Source organism: Homo sapiens, chromosome 9 (genome assembly GCF_000001405.40).
Source record: "Homo sapiens chromosome 9, GRCh38.p14 Primary Assembly".
Lineage (NCBI taxonomy): Eukaryota > Metazoa > Chordata > Mammalia > Primates > Hominidae > Homo > Homo sapiens.
The window spans coordinates 111,350,609-111,370,205 of record NC_000009.12 but is presented as its reverse complement, the minus strand read 5'-3'; the positions used below and the strand labels follow the sequence as shown (position 1 = coordinate 111,370,205).

General features: G+C 37.8%; 1 protein-coding gene across 11 annotated transcripts in view; it reads left to right on the top strand.

The window, feature by feature from the left end:
- The window catches only part of ECPAS (Ecm29 proteasome adaptor and scaffold), a 123,699-nt gene extending 114,178 nt beyond the window's left edge, over positions 1 to 9,521 (top strand). For 8 of the 11 annotated variants that reach the window (NM_001363756.2, NM_001364929.1, XM_047423107.1 and 5 more), the window contains 5 exons: positions 1,033 to 1,171; positions 3,579 to 3,684; positions 3,879 to 3,967; positions 6,547 to 6,618; positions 8,037 to 9,521. In NM_001363756.2, coding sequence (NP_001350685.1) covers positions 1,033 to 1,171; positions 3,579 to 3,684; positions 3,879 to 3,967; positions 6,547 to 6,618; positions 8,037 to 8,176 — 546 coding nt within the window. In that variant the 3' untranslated portion in view covers positions 8,177 to 9,521. Of the gene's footprint in view, positions 1 to 1,032; positions 1,172 to 3,578; positions 3,685 to 3,878; positions 3,968 to 6,546; positions 6,619 to 6,907 lie in introns of all 11 variants that reach the window. The other 3 variants (XM_047423106.1, XM_047423108.1, XM_011518422.4) reach the window with 1 other exon arrangement.
- The last annotated feature ends 10,076 nt before the right edge of the window (positions 9,522 to 19,597 follow it).

Genomic DNA, 19,597 nt, shown 5'->3' with positions numbered 1-19,597 from the left:
CTAGGGTGTGGTCATCATCCTCATGGTCCACAGTGTGTTTGTGTTCTAGGCAGGAATGCAGAGGAGATGAAGCAAGGATGAAGGATACAGTGGGCATGCCATGTCTCTCTTGAGGAGAGTTCCTGGGCACCGCTAGATGGCACTTTGACTTATAGCCATCCTGTTGGTCAGTACTTAGCCACACCTGGCAGCAGACTGAGTCTTCATTCTGGGTGTCCATTTGCCCTCCATGGGAGAAGGGGAGAGTGGATTTGGTAGTGAATGAACAGTTTATGTCATAATAAGCTTTGCCTTGGCTAATAAGCTAAGCCACCCCAGCCATCCTAGAGTAAAGGCAAGAAGCTCAGTGTGCCATGTGAATTGCCTCTGCCATATAGTGGAGGATTTGGGTCAAAAAAAGACTCAAGTTTCATGTGGAAAATGGAATACTCATTTTTAAAAGTTGGGCACTGGTCCCCCCCCCAAAAAAAAGGGTGTGGTTTCCCTGTTTATTTGTGAAACATGAAATATTTTAAGTAACATTCTTATTTCTTATTGCTCCTAAATTGCAGTTGTTTTCTTTCAGTAATAAGGCTATTTAAATAATTTCCATTACAAACATAGTGATAGCATATGGATTTGGGAGACTTGTGTTTTAAGTTGATTACATCACTAGCAAGCTGGACCAGTTGCTTCTCTTAGCCTCTGTTTCTCTATCAAGAAAGAGTTTGGATTTAGATCATTACTGAGTTTCTTCCATCTTTAAAATCTGATTCTAATGCAAGTCTTTTCATGTTATGCTCAAAAGACTACATATGCAGTATTTTTTAGCTTTTGTTTACAGATGCCTGTAAAGTATTGCCTAAATTTATTAGAGATACAGTATTCTGGTTATAAATTCTTGTTGTAAATAGGGAAACTTATGGTAGAGAATTTATCATTTAACTCTTGGTTAATATCTCCTGCCTTGGTTGGTACCCTGATAGCTTTAATAGTATACCTGTAACTTTGAAGAAGAAAATATTACATTTTCTTTTCTTTGATATATCCTAGAACTCACTTGAAAGCAGTGGGGTCCGGACAACCAAAAATGAAGAGGAGAATGAAAAGGAAAAGGAGCTCCAGCTGGAATATCTGCTGGGTGCCTTTGAAAGCCTGGGCAAAGCCTGGCCGCGAAACGCGGAGACCCAACGTAAGCACCAGAAACTGCATTTGAAGTGCTGTAACCAGAGGTTACTTAATGAGAGCGAAGAATTTTCTCTATGACAAATTATAGTTATTGTTTCTTATCGAGCCTGATTGATTAATAATGAGAATTATCCAGTGAAAGTTTTTTGTCTACATGAGTCTGTGATCTCACTGATCATTGTACCGCTGTAGCTAGGGCTGCTGTAAGAAAGTATCACAGACTGGGTGGCTTAGCAGAAATTTATTTTCTCACAATTCTGGAGGATAGAAGTCTGAGATTTCGAGATCAAGGCGTCAGCAGGGTTAGTTTCTCCTGAGACCTCTCTCCTTGGCTTGGGAATGGCTGTCTTCTCCCTGTGTCTTCACGTGGTCTTTGGTGTCTCTGTGCCCTAATCACCTCTTCCTATAAGGACACCAGGCACGCTGGATTAGGGCCCACTCATATGACCTCTTTAAAGGCTCTGTCTTCTATTTAATAATAATACAGTCAAATTCTGAGGTACTGGGGGATAGTATTTTAACATACGAATTTTGGGGGCACAGTTCCACCTATAATAACCATGATACATTTTATGCAGATAGTTTGATAGACGAGTTCTACTGATCTTCTTGATGATCATAGCTCTATTCAGAGGAATGCACAAAGTTTATTAGCAGGGTCTCTTTATCCTGAAATGAATGGTCTTGTTACCAAGTGTTCAGTAAGCAACTGAAATCCCTGTTTCAGTGAAAAACTCATTACTATTTGGACAATTTTCAGAACTGGACATGTATTTCCCAAAGATTAAATGAACAGTAAACCTCTATTATTGGATGAGGTTGCAGTTAGTTTGGAGTCCCCTGACAGGGCCTTAACCTTGGGATGATACTACCCTTTACACTTGATCTTAGCCAAAAGGCCAAGAAGTGATGATGCTACCCTTTAAGCTTGCCTTGTGTTGGGTCCTACAGTGCATCCTGCTGAAGATCTTAGTATTCGTTTTTTTTTTGTTTGTTTTTTTTTTGAGACAGGGTCTTGCTTTGTTGCCCAGGCTGGAGTGCAGTGGTGCAGTTCTTGCAGCCTTTACCTCCTGGGCTCAAGTGATCTTCCTGCCTCAGCCTCCCAAGTATTTGGGTCTACAAGTGCATGCCACGACACCCAGCAAATTTTTTTTGAAGAGGTGAGGTCTTGCTATGTTGCCCAGGTTGGTCTCAAACTCCTGGGCTCAAGTGATCCTCCCACTTTGGCCTCCCTCTCAAAGTGCTGGGATTATAGGTATGAGCCTCCATGCCCAGCGACAATATTATTGAATGTTATAAAAAGTACTGTTGATTATTTGTGATTGGATATGTCTAGAATCAGTTAAGGTTCTCTTTGAGCCCTGTCATCCTTTGTGTGAACTTATATATTTGCTATGTTTATAGGAAGGGTTTCCCAGAAGATACAAATTTGCAGGTGGTTTTATTTCTTAATATTATGTTATAGACTGCCATGGAAGTCCACTAATATGATGCCATAAAGAGTATTAACTTTTCCTTGATAGGTAGAGAAAGCTAAAGTAGGGAATTATATGAGAAAGATGATACAAACATAAAGCAGTTTATTTTAATATAAGACATAGAAGGTTGTTAATAGAAATGTGCATTTATTGAGAACCAAGGCCTTTTCTTTAGGAACTTAACTGTTACACATTGGCTTCTCATATATATCTACAATTTCTGGGTTTTGTTTCTTTAAAACAGAGAAAGAAATTTCAAGCTCTTATGAGACAATCCTAGTGCAGAATTCTAGATTTTTTATTGCCTCCCCCCATTTTTACATTTGTTTGAGCCCTACTAAATCCTACAGTAATTAAAAATAACTTCGTTGTTGAGTTTTCTGCTGATTCATCAGTTGGCATAATATTAATTATATAGTTATAATTACAGTTGCAGTTGGCATAACAGGTTTATAATAAAGCACTGTTGACTCTTGGTAAACCTGCAATTTGCAGAAGCTTGTGAGCATCTAGAGAGGAGCTTCTGGCCTCCAGAGTTCTTTCTGTGGCTGTCATTCAGGGAGTTTTGAGGGGCAAAGGGAGTGTGGTTAAAGTGCTTTCTCAGTTCCATGGAGAACCATATGCCTTGAAAGTGAATATTTGTGAACAATTATATTGCACCTTTGTGGGGGCAGTTTCTGATCAAGGAAATTTGTTTGGGGATTGAGTACAAAGTCATGCTGAAGTTTTTGGGGAAATTTCAATGGCTTTAATTAAAAGTATTTATTGTTTTATTTCTCTTTTTCCTGCTTTTCTCTCTCTTATCCTCCCCACCTTCTCTCTTTCTCTTTCCCTCTTCCTTTCTCTTGCTCTCTCTGCCTGTCCCTCATTTATTCCATCTCTTGTTCTTTTATACTGTCTCCTGCTCTGTCCCACCTTGTCTTTTTTTCCCAGGTTGTTATCGTCAGGAGCTGTGCAAACTGATGTGTGAACGGCTAAAACTCAGCACGTGGAAAGTGCAGCTAGGAGTCCTGCAATCAATGAATGCCTTTTTTCAGGGGTAAATTGCTTCATGGCTCAGTTTTTTATTTTGTTCCTCCCCGCAGCATTTTATGTATAATCAATGGAATTTTTATACATTTAAAAACTGGTAGCTAAAGTGACAGTGATACATACAGATAGAAATTGTGACAGGAAAGTTTTAGACTGTTTCTTAATAATTGGCATTTGTACCTTGCTTTCTGATTTGTATAGGTTAATGCTTTTGGAAGAAGAACATGCCGATCCTGAGGCTTTGGCTGAAATTCTGCTTGAAACTTGTAAATCAATCACATATTCTTTAGGTGAGTGTAGTAAACTAAAACTGATGAGGGAGTCCTAATTTTAAAGCTAAGGAGCTGAGCTTCAAATATTTCCTACTTTGTCTTAGGAACTAAATTTCTGAAATAGCTACTGGACTCTGCTACTTATTATACTCCATGTGTACCCCTTAACTGGAATATTTAAATCTGGAACTATAACAGGATTTTAGCATCTAGTTTAGAAAAACCTTCGTGACAAGTATTTTTACAAAATTGTTACTTGAAAGTAATTTCAAACTTACAGAATGGTTGCAACGACAGTACATGTAATACTCTGCAATATGTATACACTTTATGCAGAATCATTTGTTAACATTTTGTGCCATTTGCTTTGTCATTTGGACTTCTATATACATGTTTTTCTCCTGAACCATTTGAAAGTATGTTGCTTACTTCAGGCCCCCTTGTTCCTCAATTATTTAGTGTGCCACGGTACAGTTGTCAACTTTAGGTAGTAAACATGGATGCAGTTTTTTAAATCAAATGTTTATCGTTCATATTCTAGTTTGTTCAGTTGATTCGGTAATGTTCTTTATTTTTATTTTTATTTTTTTTGAGTTGGAGTCTCGCTCTGTCACTCAGGTTGGAGTGCAGTGGTGTGATCTCAGCTCATTGCAACCTCTACCTTCCAGGTTCAAGCAGTCCTCCTGCCTCAGTCTCCCAAGTAGCTGGGATTACAAGTGTGTACTGTCACGCCCAGCTGATTTTTGTATTTTTGTAGAGACAGGGCTTCACGAAGTTGGCCAGGCTGGTCTCAAAACTCCTGAGCTCAAGCAGTCCACCTGCCTTGGCCTCCCAAAGTACTGGAGTTATAGGCATGAGCCACCACACCCAGCCAGTAATGTTCTTTATAGGATTTTTTCCCCCTCCCCTCCATTAGGGAATCCAGTCCAGGTGATGATGATGATGATGATGATGATGATGATGATGATAATGGTTATTATTATTTTTGAGACAGGGTCTTGCTCTGTCACCCAGGCTGGAGTGCAGTGGCGTGATCTTGGCTCACTGCAACTCTGCCTTCTGGGTTTAAGTGATTCTCCTGCCTCAGTTTCCCAAGTAACTGGAATTACAGGTGTGTGCCATCATGCCTGGCTAATTTTTGTATTTTTAGTAGAGACGGGGTTTCACCATGTTGGCTAGGCTGGTCTTGAACTCCTGACCTCAAGTGATCTGCCCGCCTTGGCCTCCAGGATTATTTATTGAATTTTATTGTCATATATTTTTAGTCTCCTTCAATCTGGAATACTTCGTCAGCCTTTCTTTGTCTTAGGACATTGACAATTTTGAAGAATAAAGTCCCCCCGACTTCCCTTTTTGAAAAAACAGAATGTTTCTCATTTGGTGTTTGATGTTTTCTCATGATTATATCCAGGTTGTGAATTCCCAGTTGGGATACATACATAAGTGATGTGTCCTCACATTAAGAGGCACACAGTGTCCATCTGTCATCATTTGTGATGTTAATTTTGATTACCTGGTCAAGGTACTATCAGTTTTTCTCTACTGGATAGTTACTATGTTTTCTTTTTGTGTCTAATAAGTAGCCTGTGGGAACAGATCTTAAGATCATTCAAGTAATTTGTTTCTCTTCTTTAAAATTTCTTCTCTATATTTAGCATGCATTGATGATTCTTCCCTGAACCAATTTTTACTAAGATGATTTTGCAACTCTAGCACTTTGTCCACATTCACCATTTGATAGTTGGAATTCTGTTGTAAGCAAGATTCTTCTCTTCTGCCCATGTTTTTATTTATCTGTTACTGGCATTGATTCATGGAATCTTTCCCCCTTCAAATGGTTTATAATTTAATTTTTTAAATCTAATTCGTTATTCCAGTTGTCCCAGATTTGGCCAGTGGAAGCCCTTTCAAGCTGCCTCCTGTGTCCTTTTGACAGGTCACCGTCACTCTTTGTAGCACTTTTGTACTTTGTAGCATAACAAGATGATAAGGCCCATCTCATGCCTACCCTGCTTTGGGCTTGGTTGTGTGTTGATTTTTTTGGTAGACAATTTCACCATGAACCAGACGCCGTGTCAAAGAGTGGATGCCAAGGAAGCATGTTTCATTCGCAGTTGTTGGCAGCAGCATCCTTTTATGGATAAAGAACAGGCAGCCAACAGACCTCTCTTTGCTGAGTTCCAGGTGTCCCTGATCGGCTTAAACACTGGGTCATATAATGTTCTTTGGTAAAATGAGGAGGGTCATGTAGACCTAAGGATCGTTCTTATCCGTGATACGAAGATGATTTTGTGTTTGAGATAGTTTTTTCATCTCCCACTTCTAAAATGGATCATTTAAATATTGCCATTTGTTGTGGTGATTGGTATACTTGGCTGACAGGTTTTTGTTTTTCCAAAGTAAAGACTGTGGACATTAGCACACATTTCAAGTATTTGATACTTAGCAAAGGGAAGCTTCCTTTAAAAAAAAAAAATCAGATATACCCTTCCCTAGAGTTGTAATTTCTGGACATCTTTCTTTCAGCAACACAAATTTAATCTTGGAGGTTGTGTTTTTCAGGCAGGCCATATGAACTGTATGATATTTCTTTTTAGAAAATAAGACCTACTCATCTGTGAGAACAGAAGCTTTATCTGTGATAGAATTGCTGCTTAAAAAACTTGAAGGTAAGTTGTTGTTAGTTCTGACTGGGGGACCATAAAGCCATGTGGCATATGTTTTAGAAATTTTTTGTTTCGTTTTTGCTTATACTCTTAAGCATATACTCTGAAATACAAATCAGTATGTATGCACATGCAAGAAGAATGGACAAAGCCAAAACTATTAAATTTTACTAAATATTTAAATTTGATACACTTTTATATATTTTTAATATATTATTAAGCTATAGTTGTCTTAAAGTAATAAAGTTTTTGTTTTCATCGTGAATCCTGATTTAATCTTGGTTAATTACAGGAATTGGTTGACAGTGGCATGTGTACATGTAAATAAGCAGAACGACACACTGAAAAGTGGAGTTGGAAAAACATTTTTAACAGTTATCTACCTGAGTCATCAAATCTGACAGTAGCAATTTTCTTAATCCTATTTCTTCTCCCCTAACCTCTTTTTCTTCTAATGGTCTATCAGTGGGTGGGGTGGGGGGGAACTGTTAGCATTTTCTCCAGTGGTGTATCTGTTACTGACTTCAGAAGGAGGACCCTCTTCTTTTTTCTCTCTCTCTCTCAAATTGTTTTCACGGATTAAGAATGTAGAAGATGGAAACGTTTTTCCTGCAACCTTGTGTATTTGCTCTTTCTACTTCTCTATCTTTGCTTAGCAATTAAAACACCTCTCTTAGGGCTCCATCAAACAGAACTTTTAGACTGAGTAACGCTAAACATCTCCTAATCCCTTTTTTCCTTGTTGAGATAAAAGAGCTAGGCACTTAGTCGTATTACCGAATTCTCAGTTTGCCAGATATGTACTAATATAGTCCAGATGAGGAAAATAAGGCTGAAGGCAAGCTAAACTTGCCTGAAGCCACATTGCTAGGAAGTGACAGAACCTTGTAAACAAGATTTAAGATTTGATATACTTTCTTATTTTCTAAAAATTTCAATGTGCATGTAGTTCTCAGATGCTTTCCTCGAAGAAAAGGGAGTGTCATCTATTTATCTGACCTTGCAATTATGACATTTCTTAGAAGTTTTTTTTTTTTAACTGACCGTATCTTATGAAATGGTCTTGCGATGGTGTTGTTGAAATGACTTTTTTGCTGCAGTGTGCCTTGCCCTGATAATTCCTTCTTCCTACTATGCTTCAGTGTAATTATTTCTCTTACTCCCACTGATACTGGGGGAAGGAGAGGAAACTCCCTGATGTGCCTCTACGCTACTGTCAAGAATTAGGTTTTGAGACACATATTGACAGTATGTAATGATAATTATATACTGATCTGTTATCAAGAGGTTGCTTTGCATTTATTTGGGGGATAGGATATTTTTAAATTTTTTTCTTGCTTGTTCTATAAGGATTCTTTGGGGTTTTTTCTTTTTGCTTTGTTTTTTGTTTTTTTTGTTTTTGTTTTTTTTTTTTCATGCAGAATCTAAACAGTGGGAATGTTTGACATCTGAATGCAGAGTGCTCCTAATTGAGTCTTTAGCTACTATGGAGCCAGACAGCAGACCTGAACTGCAGGAGAAAGCAGCGTTACTGAAGAAAACACTTGAAAATCTGGAATAAATTAGAAGGGGAAGAAACAAACAAGTGCCATGTTCATTGGGGGTTGAAGTGGTGGTGTTCTTTGAAAAACCAAGTGGGAAAAAGTAAAGATTAATCTGTAGCATGCATCATTCCTTGGCTGAAATAAAAAGAAAAAGCCTTAAATTTTGTTCCTTATTAGCTTTATTTTACTTTATGTTTTTAAAGTATCTGGGCTGAGTGAGCTTAATGGAACCTTGGATGTTTGAGGGGTGGTTGTAAAGGAAACTGGCAGAAATAGTTACTAAAAGAGTTCAAGCTGTTATTAAAGGAATTAATAGACAGAGTTGCAGAGCAAGCTGGATAAAAATCTTAGAACTGCATTCAAATTAGTTATTTCAGGAAGGGGCCCTATAAATAACTTATTTTAACCTCCCTCTTACACCTGAAGAAATAGGAAGCTGTGTCATCTCAGAGGCTTTCTGAGGCCTGTGCCAAAGTCAGAACCCAGGTGTTTAATGTCTGGCCCTGGATACTTTCTTTTATGGCCATCTGCCAAATCAGTGCTAACCCCGGCTTACCCAAGAAACTTCCAAGATGAGGTACGTTTAGGGTGGCACACAGCAGTCTTTGTGCCAGAACTAAACTGACCCTTACCATTGGGTTTCTGAAAGCCAGAAGCTAAACATTGTCTTGTCATGTGTTTAGGTGGTTGATTTGGAGAAAATGATTGTTTAGCATCTTTACAGATGGAGAGGACAGAGTCAGTCTCCTTCGGATAATTCCAATCGTCTTCCTTTTACAGGTGGATAAAGTAGATTAGGACAAGATCACACATTCTATCTGTGTCTGTGGCTGCATATTTTGCAAAACCAGAAACAAAATCGCAGACTGCCGTGGTTTAGACCATTTATAATGTCAAAACTGTAATGACAAATTTCTGTTCACTTTTATGCTACCAGTATGACTTTATAGGGGAGAAGGAAAGCCTTTTAATTAGCCACCTGGGAATTACTCTTTTAAAAAATGCCTTTTCTCAAAAGAACATGATACCACTCCAAGTAAATCATTGCCACTAGGGGTTTTCCTCCTTCCTTCTGTTGCCCATGCCCCTGCCTGAAAGTGTAGGGTAAGAGGAAAAACAAGTAAAACCTTAGTGTTGATGGTAAACTGAGAACTCTGTAGCTTACCTTGGATTCCAGAGCAGAAGACTGGTTTACATTCAGTACTCATCCTTATTGACGTTAACACCAGGAATCTCCATGTTTATTATTTTTCGTGGAAACTCCATGTTTATTATTTTTGGTGGTCTCTATTGACCAATGTATTTCAAACTTTTTTGACTGCAAGTCATAATAAAAATAACTTTTTACATCACGACCCAGAACATGTGTGTTTGTGTGTGTATATATGTGCATGCCTAAATACAAAATCTTTAAAACATTTCATGAAATAATACATAACTGTGTGATACCCTTTAGTGTCTGCTCCCGGCCCCCTGATTTAATGCTCTTCAGACTCTCTAAATTCATTTCCTGACTCACAACGGGGTTGCTACTTACAGTTTAAACAACACTGCCGTAGATAGCACCTAGACTTGGCTGAATATGCTGGGGATTTGTTTCTGATTGAAAAGGGAGTTTACAAATAAAAATTTAAGTGTTTATTACAAAAACATCCTCTTTGCTGATACTGAACGTCAGTTTTAGTAGCATCATGAATTTTAAGGAATCTATCTCGGATTTTCATTTGAGAATGGCTATTGCTTGGGGAAAAATCAACTTCGGATGTTTTTTAGAAAGCTTATGGCGTCTTTTAGGACTTGGTGTTTTTCATATCAGTATTTCCCCCTCCACCAAGTACTCCCTGACTTTCATTTATGGTACCTGGGATATTCTTCCTTGGCAAGAATACAATGCAGGTTGGATGTTTTCAGAAAGTAGGATTATAAAGGCAAGAATTACGCTCTTAGTCTATATCAAATGTTAACACCTTGTCAAATGTTACGCTTTTTAAGCTTTTTGTTTTTTAATATTGGGAATTTCCCTTGGTGCTAAGAATGGTGCTGAGGCACTCGAACCTTTGTGCTTCGTGCTATTGAATTCCTGTACATTAGCTTTCTAAGCACATTTCTAATTTGTACACTTAATGCCTTCATCTTGACCAGCCTAATCATTCACACAGCTAGTAATGCTAAATTATTGTCTCACAATGCCCCTTATCTTTGGTGTGCATGTGTACCTATATTTATTTAAAAGGGTTAATAACAGAGCTTGTAATTGTGGAATGTTCGCTGGTGAACAAATGGCAGAAGGACTCACGCAAGTTTATATCATCGGCCTTTGTTTTCCAGAGCTCCCCCAAACAGATTTTGATTCTTTTCTCCCTAGAAATAGTGTTACCTGTCATACAAGCAACTGATTGGTAGGGTCTACTACTGAATTCCTTATTCCTGGAATTAGTTCACAAGATGTATCGTCTTAAATGTACTGATATGTGAAAAGGAGATACCCAGAGTGTGGCAAGTTGGAAATCAGAATCATCAAAGTAGTATATAATTGTCTTTTTGGTGATAAAGAGCAGCTGTTTCCTTAATGAAGTTTGTGTTGAATTTATAATTCCATGTGCCTCCCTGTAATACAGTCTACCTGCACAGCAAAACTGCCACCGCATTCCCATTGCTTCCCCCTTCCATCTTTTACTGCGTACTTACTAACAAGACAGAAAAGAAAAAAGATGTGCCCTTGTTGGTCTTCGCTCTGGTAGCAACTGCACTGCGCGCACACTGTCTGCCCTTCATGGGGCATTTCTACCTGCTGCTGCCACAATATATTCATGCTGCTTGTTAAGTCCAGGGAGTTACTTTGACATTGGCCTTATTGTAATGTACAAACTATTGTTAAATGGATGTATATGTAACAGAATTTTGTATTTTATATGTGACTTTCACAGAATCGTCTGCAGTATGTCCCAGCTAGCTAAGTGTCTGATAGATATTTGAAAGGAAAATCCCATCCATGCCCAAGAAGATATTAAATGGCAAATAAAAGCTGCATGATCTGTTCTTTTGAAGTAGTGCATTAATTTTTATTAATTCTCCAGGAAAATAGCTCAACTGCCAAGGCATTGACTAGTTATACTTAAAAAACAATTAAAAACCCAACTGCCTGCCATATTCTGAGCTAACTCCGGTAAGTAGAAATTGCTGGCTTAAGTGTTTAGGAGCTGCAAGACAAAGCAGAAACAAAAGGAAGACTCCCTGAACAACTGCTGTCAGATGCTTGGAGGAAAGGTATCATGGAAACATTTGATTTTCTCATAAAAGTAACCCCTAAGGAACATACAAAAACAACAGACAGTTCTTTTGACCAAGATTAAGATACATGGCTATGAATGTAAAATGTCAGAGGTACAGGCACATCCTATACTGTAAACTGCCAAGCAAATGTTTAGACTGTGGAAGATGGCTAAGTATTTGCTTGGCAGTTTACAGTATAGGATATGCCTGTACCTCTGACATTTTACATTCATAGCCATGTATCTTAATATTTAGACTGTGAAAGTGAGTTACCTTGCTTATTCTCTGGAGCAGCCAACAAGCCTATGCCGTTCCCTCCTGGTATGCTTTTCTTTTTCCTTTCAAGCAGGTTCCAAATTAGCTTACTACAGTAACTTTTTTTTTTTTTTTTTTTTTTTAAAATGCGAAGTCTCACTCTGTCATCCAGGCTGGAGTGCAATGGTGCGATCTTAGCTTACTGCAACCTCTGCCTCCCAGGTTCAGGGGATTCTCCTGCCTCAGCCTCCTGAGTAGCTGGGATTACAGGTGCCTGCCAACATACCCAGCTAATTTTTGCATTTTAGTAGAGATGGGGTTTCACCTCATTGGCCAGGCTGGTCTCAAACTCCTGGCCTCAGGTGATCCATGTGCCTCAGCCTCCCACAGTGTTGGGATTACAGGTGGGAGCCAGGGAGCTAGAGTAACTTTTTTTTTAAGTGAACCATAATGCTACAAAAGTTGGAAACAGCCTTTCAAACGATAGTTTCTCAAAGTTTTAAGTGTTTACCTTTAAAAATGATACATTTCTTTTACATTCAAGTAGTATTGAAAAAACCTTTATGAAAAAGATAAAGGACAGTGAGAAAACAGGTAATAGGAACATCTGTGTTTGTTTGGGTATTCTTGAAAAGAGTACTCTTAAGACCAATGTTGGGTATTAGTGGTTAGATGTATAATTCTTTTACGCTACTTTTGATTCCAGAACAGTCTTCAAATACAATATCTTTTCTGAACATCAGTATTTTTGAGTATTTATTTTATTTTAGCACTGTAAAGATGCCCCAGTGTTTCTTGGCCTTCAGGGTTTCCATTATGATTTCTGAGGTTCTCAGAGCAAATTGTTGCTCTCTAGATGTGGTGTGTAGTTTTTTTCTGTCTGCTTTCATGATTTTTCCTATTTTTGGATTTCAGCACTTTGACTATGATGTACCTAGGTGTGCTTTTCTTCATATTTATCCTCAAGTTTTGCTTCGATTTTTGAATTTCTAAATGTGTGAATTTTACTGAATTGTGAATTTTGTTTTGTTTTGGCCATTTACCCACATGTTTTTTTCCCTGTGCCATCCTCTCTCCTCTCTTTCTAGAACTCTAGTTAAACATATGTTAGATCTTTTGATATTGTTCCACAGGTCTTAGTCATTTTTTAAAAATTCGCTTTAAATTTATTGACTCTACCATGTCTATTCTGATATTAAAGCCCATCTAGTGAGTCTTTATTTCAGATATTTTAATTTTCCATTCTAAGGTTTCCATTTGTTCTTTTTAAAATTTTCAATTTCTAATCTTTCTCACATTTTAAAAAACATCATGAAGCATAATTATAGTTGCTTTTGAGTTCTTATTTGATACTTACACATCTGGATCATCTTGGCTTTGGTCTTTTTTGATTGCCTCCCCCAGGCCTCCAACATCATTTCCTGGTTCTTTGTATATCCGGTATTTTGGGACTGTAACCCAACATTCTTAGACATTGTGCATGTTATGTCGTGGAGACTCTGGACTGTTCCTCCAAAGAGCTGCTTTTCAATTTGAGCAGGCAGTGAACATGGTTAAACTCAAACTGCCAACTATCTCCCCTTTGGTAGGTGGCTCAGATCTCAGTTCAGCTCTTTTTTTTTTTTTTTTTTTTTTGGCTGAGCTTTTTGCAGTCTGCCGTGAACGTAAGTGATTCAGAGATTAGTCACAGACTTGGGCAGAGTTACACACAGAAACTTGGGTTCTTCTTCTCTGCTGTTTTATATCCAGGATTTTCCCCTTACTTTGTAGTGGGCTCTGCCTGCCTCAGGCTGGAGAGAGGGTGATTTTCAGTGGGAGCTTCCACCGTTCTGTGCCACGCTGACTGTGCTTTACCCTAAGGACAAAGCCACAAAGCCCCAAAACTCACCCCCTGCCGGCCCCTTCCATGTTTTGGCTCTCCGCCGAAATCTACCCGACTCCGACTCTAGAGCCTTAAGAAAATTGTTTGGGTTTTTTTTGTTTTGTTTTGTTTTGAATGCAGTGTTTATAGTTTCTATATGCAAGGCAGTCTTCTGGGAAGTTACTCCACCATACTGGACATAGAGTTTGAGAATATTTGTTGTTTTTAAAAAGCTATACAAAGCTAAACGTACCCTTACCATTGGATTGTGCTCATTGGTATTTATGCAGGCAAATTGAAAACTTGTGTCGATGCAAAATCTGCACGTGGATATTTATAGCAGCTTTATCCATAATTGCCAAAAATTGGAAGCGACCAAGATGTCCTTCAGTAGGTGAATGGTAAAGTATAAAATAAACTGATATATCCAGAAAATGGAATATTATTCAGTGCTAAAAAGAGCTATCAAGCCATTAAAAACATGGAGAAAACATACGTTTATATTAGTGAAAGAAGTCAATCTGAAAAGGTTACATCCTGTATGGTTCCAACTATATGACATTCTGGAAAAGGCAAAGCTGTGGAGACCGTAAAAAGATCTGTGATTGACAGGAGTTGGGGGAAGGGAAGGGTGAATAAATAGAGCAGAGAGGATTTCTAAGGCAGTGAAAATACTCCGTATAATACTACGGTTGTGAATATATGTCGTCGTACATTTGCCCAAACCTATAGAATGTACACCACCAGGAGTGAGCCCGAAGGCGAACTATGAACTTCAGGTGATAACTGTATGTCAATGTAAGTTCATCAGTTGCAACCAACTTACCACTATGGTACAAGATGTTGACAGTGGGCAAGGTTGTGCATGTGTGAGGGTAGGGGGCATATGAGAACTCTGTACCTTCCTCTCAATCTTGCTTTGAACCTGAAACTTCTCTAAAAAGTAATGCCTGTTTGAATTATGTTTTAGATAAATCTTAAAAAAACAAGGTTTTTTTTTTTTGAGGCAGAGTCTCGCTCTGTTGCCCAGGCTGGAGTGCAGTGGTGCCATCTCAGCTCATTGCAACCTACGCCTCCTGGGTTCAAGCGATTCTTCTGCCTCAGCCTCCCGAGTAGCTGGGATTACAGGTGCCCATCACCACATCCAGCTAATTTTTTGTATTTTTAGTAGAGATGGGGTTTCACCATGTTGGCCAGGCTGATCTCGAACTCCTGACCTCAGGTGATCCACCCGTCTCGGCCTCCCTAAGTGTTGGGATTAAGGCCTGAACCACTTTTTTTTGTTTGTTTGTTTGTTTTGTTTTTGAGACAGGGTCGCACTCTGTTGCCCAGGTTGGAGTAAAGTGGCATGATCATGGCTCACTGCAGTCTCAAACTCCTGGGCTCAATTGATTCTCCTGCTTCAGCCTCCTAAGTAGCTGGGACTACAGGCGCACACCACTGTGCCCAGCTAATTCTTGTATTTTTTGTAGACATGGGGTTTCACCATGTTCATTGCCCAGGCTGGTCTCGAACTCCTGAGCTCAAGTGACACACCTGCCTTGGCCTCCCAAAGTGTTGGATTACAGGCATGAGCCACTGCACCTGGAATACATTTGAGTTTTAAGTGAAGAGGAGAATATGGGTAGGTAATTTTGCCTCTGGTCAAAAAATGAGAGAGTTCAGGTTTTTAAAAGTTAGTTCTTCAAATATGGAGTGTGGAATATGGTATATTTATTTGCACTTGTAACTTCTGCTTTCTCTCATTTGGATTCCTAGGTATTGGATTCTAGCTTATTCTTTGCTGATATGATCTTTCTAATTTGACATTGAATTATTCTGGCCATTTCAGGAATTTTAGAAATAGAGTTTTGAAATGAAGGTTTACATTGTTGAGAACTATTCTCCAGAAATAAAAAATGTAAGGGAAGAAGAAAAGTATGAAAAACACCTTTAGAATATTTCTTTCAAAAAGGGAGGTTTATTTCCATATACTCCCTTTCCTCACACATGCACAACCTCGCCCACTATCAACATCCTGTACCACAGTGGTGTGTTTGTTGCAATTGATGAACTTACATTGACATATAGTTATCACGTGTCTTGGGGCAGGGATTAACAGTCCATGGGCCGTAAAACCAGCCACAACTCCCAAGTTGATCTACAGATTCAATGCAATTCCTATCAAAATGTGAAAGTATTGAAACCGTAGAAAATATACTCTATAATCACAATGAATTGAAAATAGAAATTAATAAGTGAATGAAACTGAGAAATTTATAAACGTGGAAATTAAGTACACACTTCTGAATAACCAGGGGAACAAAGAGGAAATCACCAAAGAAATTAGAAAATACTTTGAGATGAATGAAAATGACACAAAATTCCAAAACTTATGAAGTGCAGCTAAAGCAGTGCTTAGAGGGGAATTTATAACTGAAAAAAAGCCATCTTACTAGAGTATGAGTAATAATAATAATAGTAATAAAAACCAGGTGCAGTGGCTCATGCCTGTAATCCCAGAAGTTTAGGAGGCTGAGGTGGGAAGATTGTTGGAAGCCAGCAGTTCAAGACCAGCCTATGCAGTGTAGCCAGACCATGTCTCTCTGAAAAATTTTAAAAATTAGCCAGGCATGGTAGCATGCACTTGTAGTCCCAGCTACCTGGGAGGCAGAGGTAGGAGGATTGCTTGAGCCCAGGATTTCGAGGCTGCAGTGAGCCATGATTGCACCACTGCACTCCAGTCTCGGTGACAGAGTGAGACCCTGACTCAAAAAACCAAACCAAACAAAAAACCTATCCCAAACCTTTCTCTTAAAGCATTGGAAAAGAAAAAGCAAATTAAACCTGAAGGGAGGAAACAAAGATCAGAGCAGAAATTATGAAATTGAGAATAGGAAAGAAAAAAAAAAAGAAACTGAAAGTTGGTTCTTTGAAAAGATCAACAAAATTGTTGATCAGCAAATCTGTAGGTAGACTGACCAAAAGCAAAACCCCCTGAATTACTAAAACAGGAATGAAAGAGATATTGCTATTTGCTAATCTTAAAAAATAAACCAAAATATAAAGGAATACTATGAGCAACTGTATGGCAACAAATTAGATAACTTAGATGAAATTGACACATTCCCAGGAAGCTACAAATCAAAAAATTAAATCTGACTCAGAAGAAATAGAAAGTATGGATAGACTTGCAGCAAGTAAAGAAATTGAGCTAGTACTCAAAAAGCTACCTGCAACAAAAAGTCCAGGCCCAGATGGTGAATTCTACCAAACATTTTTAAAGAATGCCAGTTCTTTTTAAAATTTTTAATTTTTTAATTTTAAATTATGGGTACATAATAGTTATGCCTGTATCAAAAGAATATCAATTATTTACACACTCTTCAGAAAAATAGAAGAGGGAGTACTTCCTAACTTGTTCTATGAGACCAGTATTACCCTAGTACCAAAATTGGACAAAGACATAGATGAAAAAACTAAACAAGCTACAGAGAAATTTCTCTTACAAGTATAGACACAAAACTTGCAAACAAAATACTAGAAACTGAGTGAAGCAATATAGAAAAATGATTATACATCATGACCAGGAGGGATTTATCTCAGGAATACAAGGTTGGTTTAACATGAAAATCAAATTATATAATGCCTCATACCAATAAAGGAGAAAAACCATATTATAATCTCAATAGATGCAGAAAAAGCATTTGATAAAATCCAATACCCCTTCATTTTACACACACACACACACACACACACAGACACACACACCCCACTCAACAATTTGGAATAAAAGGGAACTTCATTAGCTAATAAGGGGGATCTACAAAAAACACATAGTTTACACTGTAAGACTACATGATAGTACCTAATAGGGTTACATGATACCTAATGAAGAAAGACTAAATGTTTTCCCTCTAAGCTCAGGAATGAGATAAGGGTGTTTACTCTTGCTACTTCCTTTAAACATTATGCTGGAAGTTCCATCTAGGAAAGTTAGTCAAGTAAACAGAACAGACGGCATCGAGATTGGAAAGAAGTAAAATAACAATATTTTCAGATAACATGTTGTATATAGAAAATCCTAATGAATTCACTAAAAACCTATTGGAACTATAAATGAGTTCAGCAAGGTTGAGGATCAATTAATAATTGAATTTATAAGTTAATTACAAATATCACTTATTTCTATGTTGTACCAATGGACAACCTGTAAATGAAATTAAGAAAACTGTTTCATTTGCAATAGAAAATTATTTGTTCAAAATGAATTTTTAGGAATGAATTTAATGAAACATGCAAAAATTACACTCTGGGAAATTACAAAATATTGCTGAAAGAAATTAAGGAAGAGCTAAGTAAATGGAAAGACATCCATGCTTATGATCAGAATACTTAATACTGTTAAGATGACAATACTGACCAAGTTGATTTACAGATTCAATAGACAAACTAATTCTAAAATTTATGTGGAGTGCAAAGGACCCAGAATACTTAAAATATTTTGAAAAAGAACAAAAGTAGGCCTAGCGCAGTGGCTCATGCCTGTAATCCCAGCACCTTGGGAGGCCGAGGTGGGCGGACATGAGGTCAAGAGATTGAGACCATCCTGGCTAACACGGTGAAACCCCATCTCTACTAAAAATACAAAAAATTAGCTGGGCATGGTGGCACGCACCTGTAGTCCCAGCTACTTGGGAGGCTGAGGCAGGAGAATCGCTTGAACCTGGGAGGCAGAGGTTGCAGTGAGCTGAGATGGGGCCACTGCACTCCAGCCTGGGCGACAGATCGAGACTCTGTCTCACAAAAAAAAAAAAAAAAAAAAAAACCAAATAGAACAAAAGTGGATTACTCCTCTTTCCTGACTTCAAAACTTACTAAAAATCTATGGTAATCAACACTATGTGGTGCTGGCATAAGACTGGACATACAATTCAAAGGAATAGAATTGACAGTCCAGAAATAAACCTTTACATTTATGGCAAATTGACTTTCAACACGGGTGTCAAATTCACTCAATGAGGAAAGAATAGTCTTTTCAACAAATGGTGCTGGTACAACTGGATATCTACATGCAAATGAATGAAGTTGGACTTCTTCCTCACATTGCACACAAAATGAACTCAAAATGGATCAGACTTAAATGTAAGAGCTAAAACTGTAAAACTCTTGAAAGTAAATCTAGAAGTAAATCTTCCTAACCTTGGGTTAGGTAAAGATTTCTTAGACATGATACCAGAAGCTCAAGTGACAAAAGAAAAAAAAATATAAATTGAATTCCATTGAAATTAACATCTTTTTGTGTTTTCACAGGAAACTATCAAGAAAGTAAAAAGACAACCTACAGATTGGGATAAAATATTTGCAAATTCTATACCTGATAAGGAACTTGTATTCAGAATATATTAAAAAAAAACACTCTTATGACTCAAAAAGACAACCTAATTTCTAAAATGGGTGAAGGATCTGTATAGACATTTATCCAAAGAAGATATATAAATGGCCAATATATACATAAAAATTGCTAAAAATCAGTAACCATTCGGGGATTGCAAATGCAAACCACAATGAGATGCCACTATAAACTGTCTAGGATGGCTATATAAAAAGAAGACACATAAGTATTGATAAGGAAGTGGAGAAATTGGAACCCTCAAGCATTGCTGGTGGGAATGTAAAATGATACAGCTGCTTTGGGTAACAGTTTTGCAGTTTCTCAAATGTTTAAACAAAGTGTAACATATACTCAAGAGAAATGAAAACATATGTCCCACAAAAAATTATAGATAAATGTTCATAGGAACATTATTTATAAAAACCAAAAACTGGGAACAACCCAAATGCTCAACTGATGACTGGATAAAAATTAAATGTGGCATATCTATACAATGAGATGTTTGGCATGTATCATTATTTCATTCCTTTACTTGCCAAATATCTCATTGTATATGGATATCCATACAATGAGATGTTATTTGGCAAGTAAAGGAATGAAATAATGATTCATGCTATGACTTGGATGAATCTTGAAAACATATGATAAGGGAAAGAAGTCAGCTTTAAAGACCAC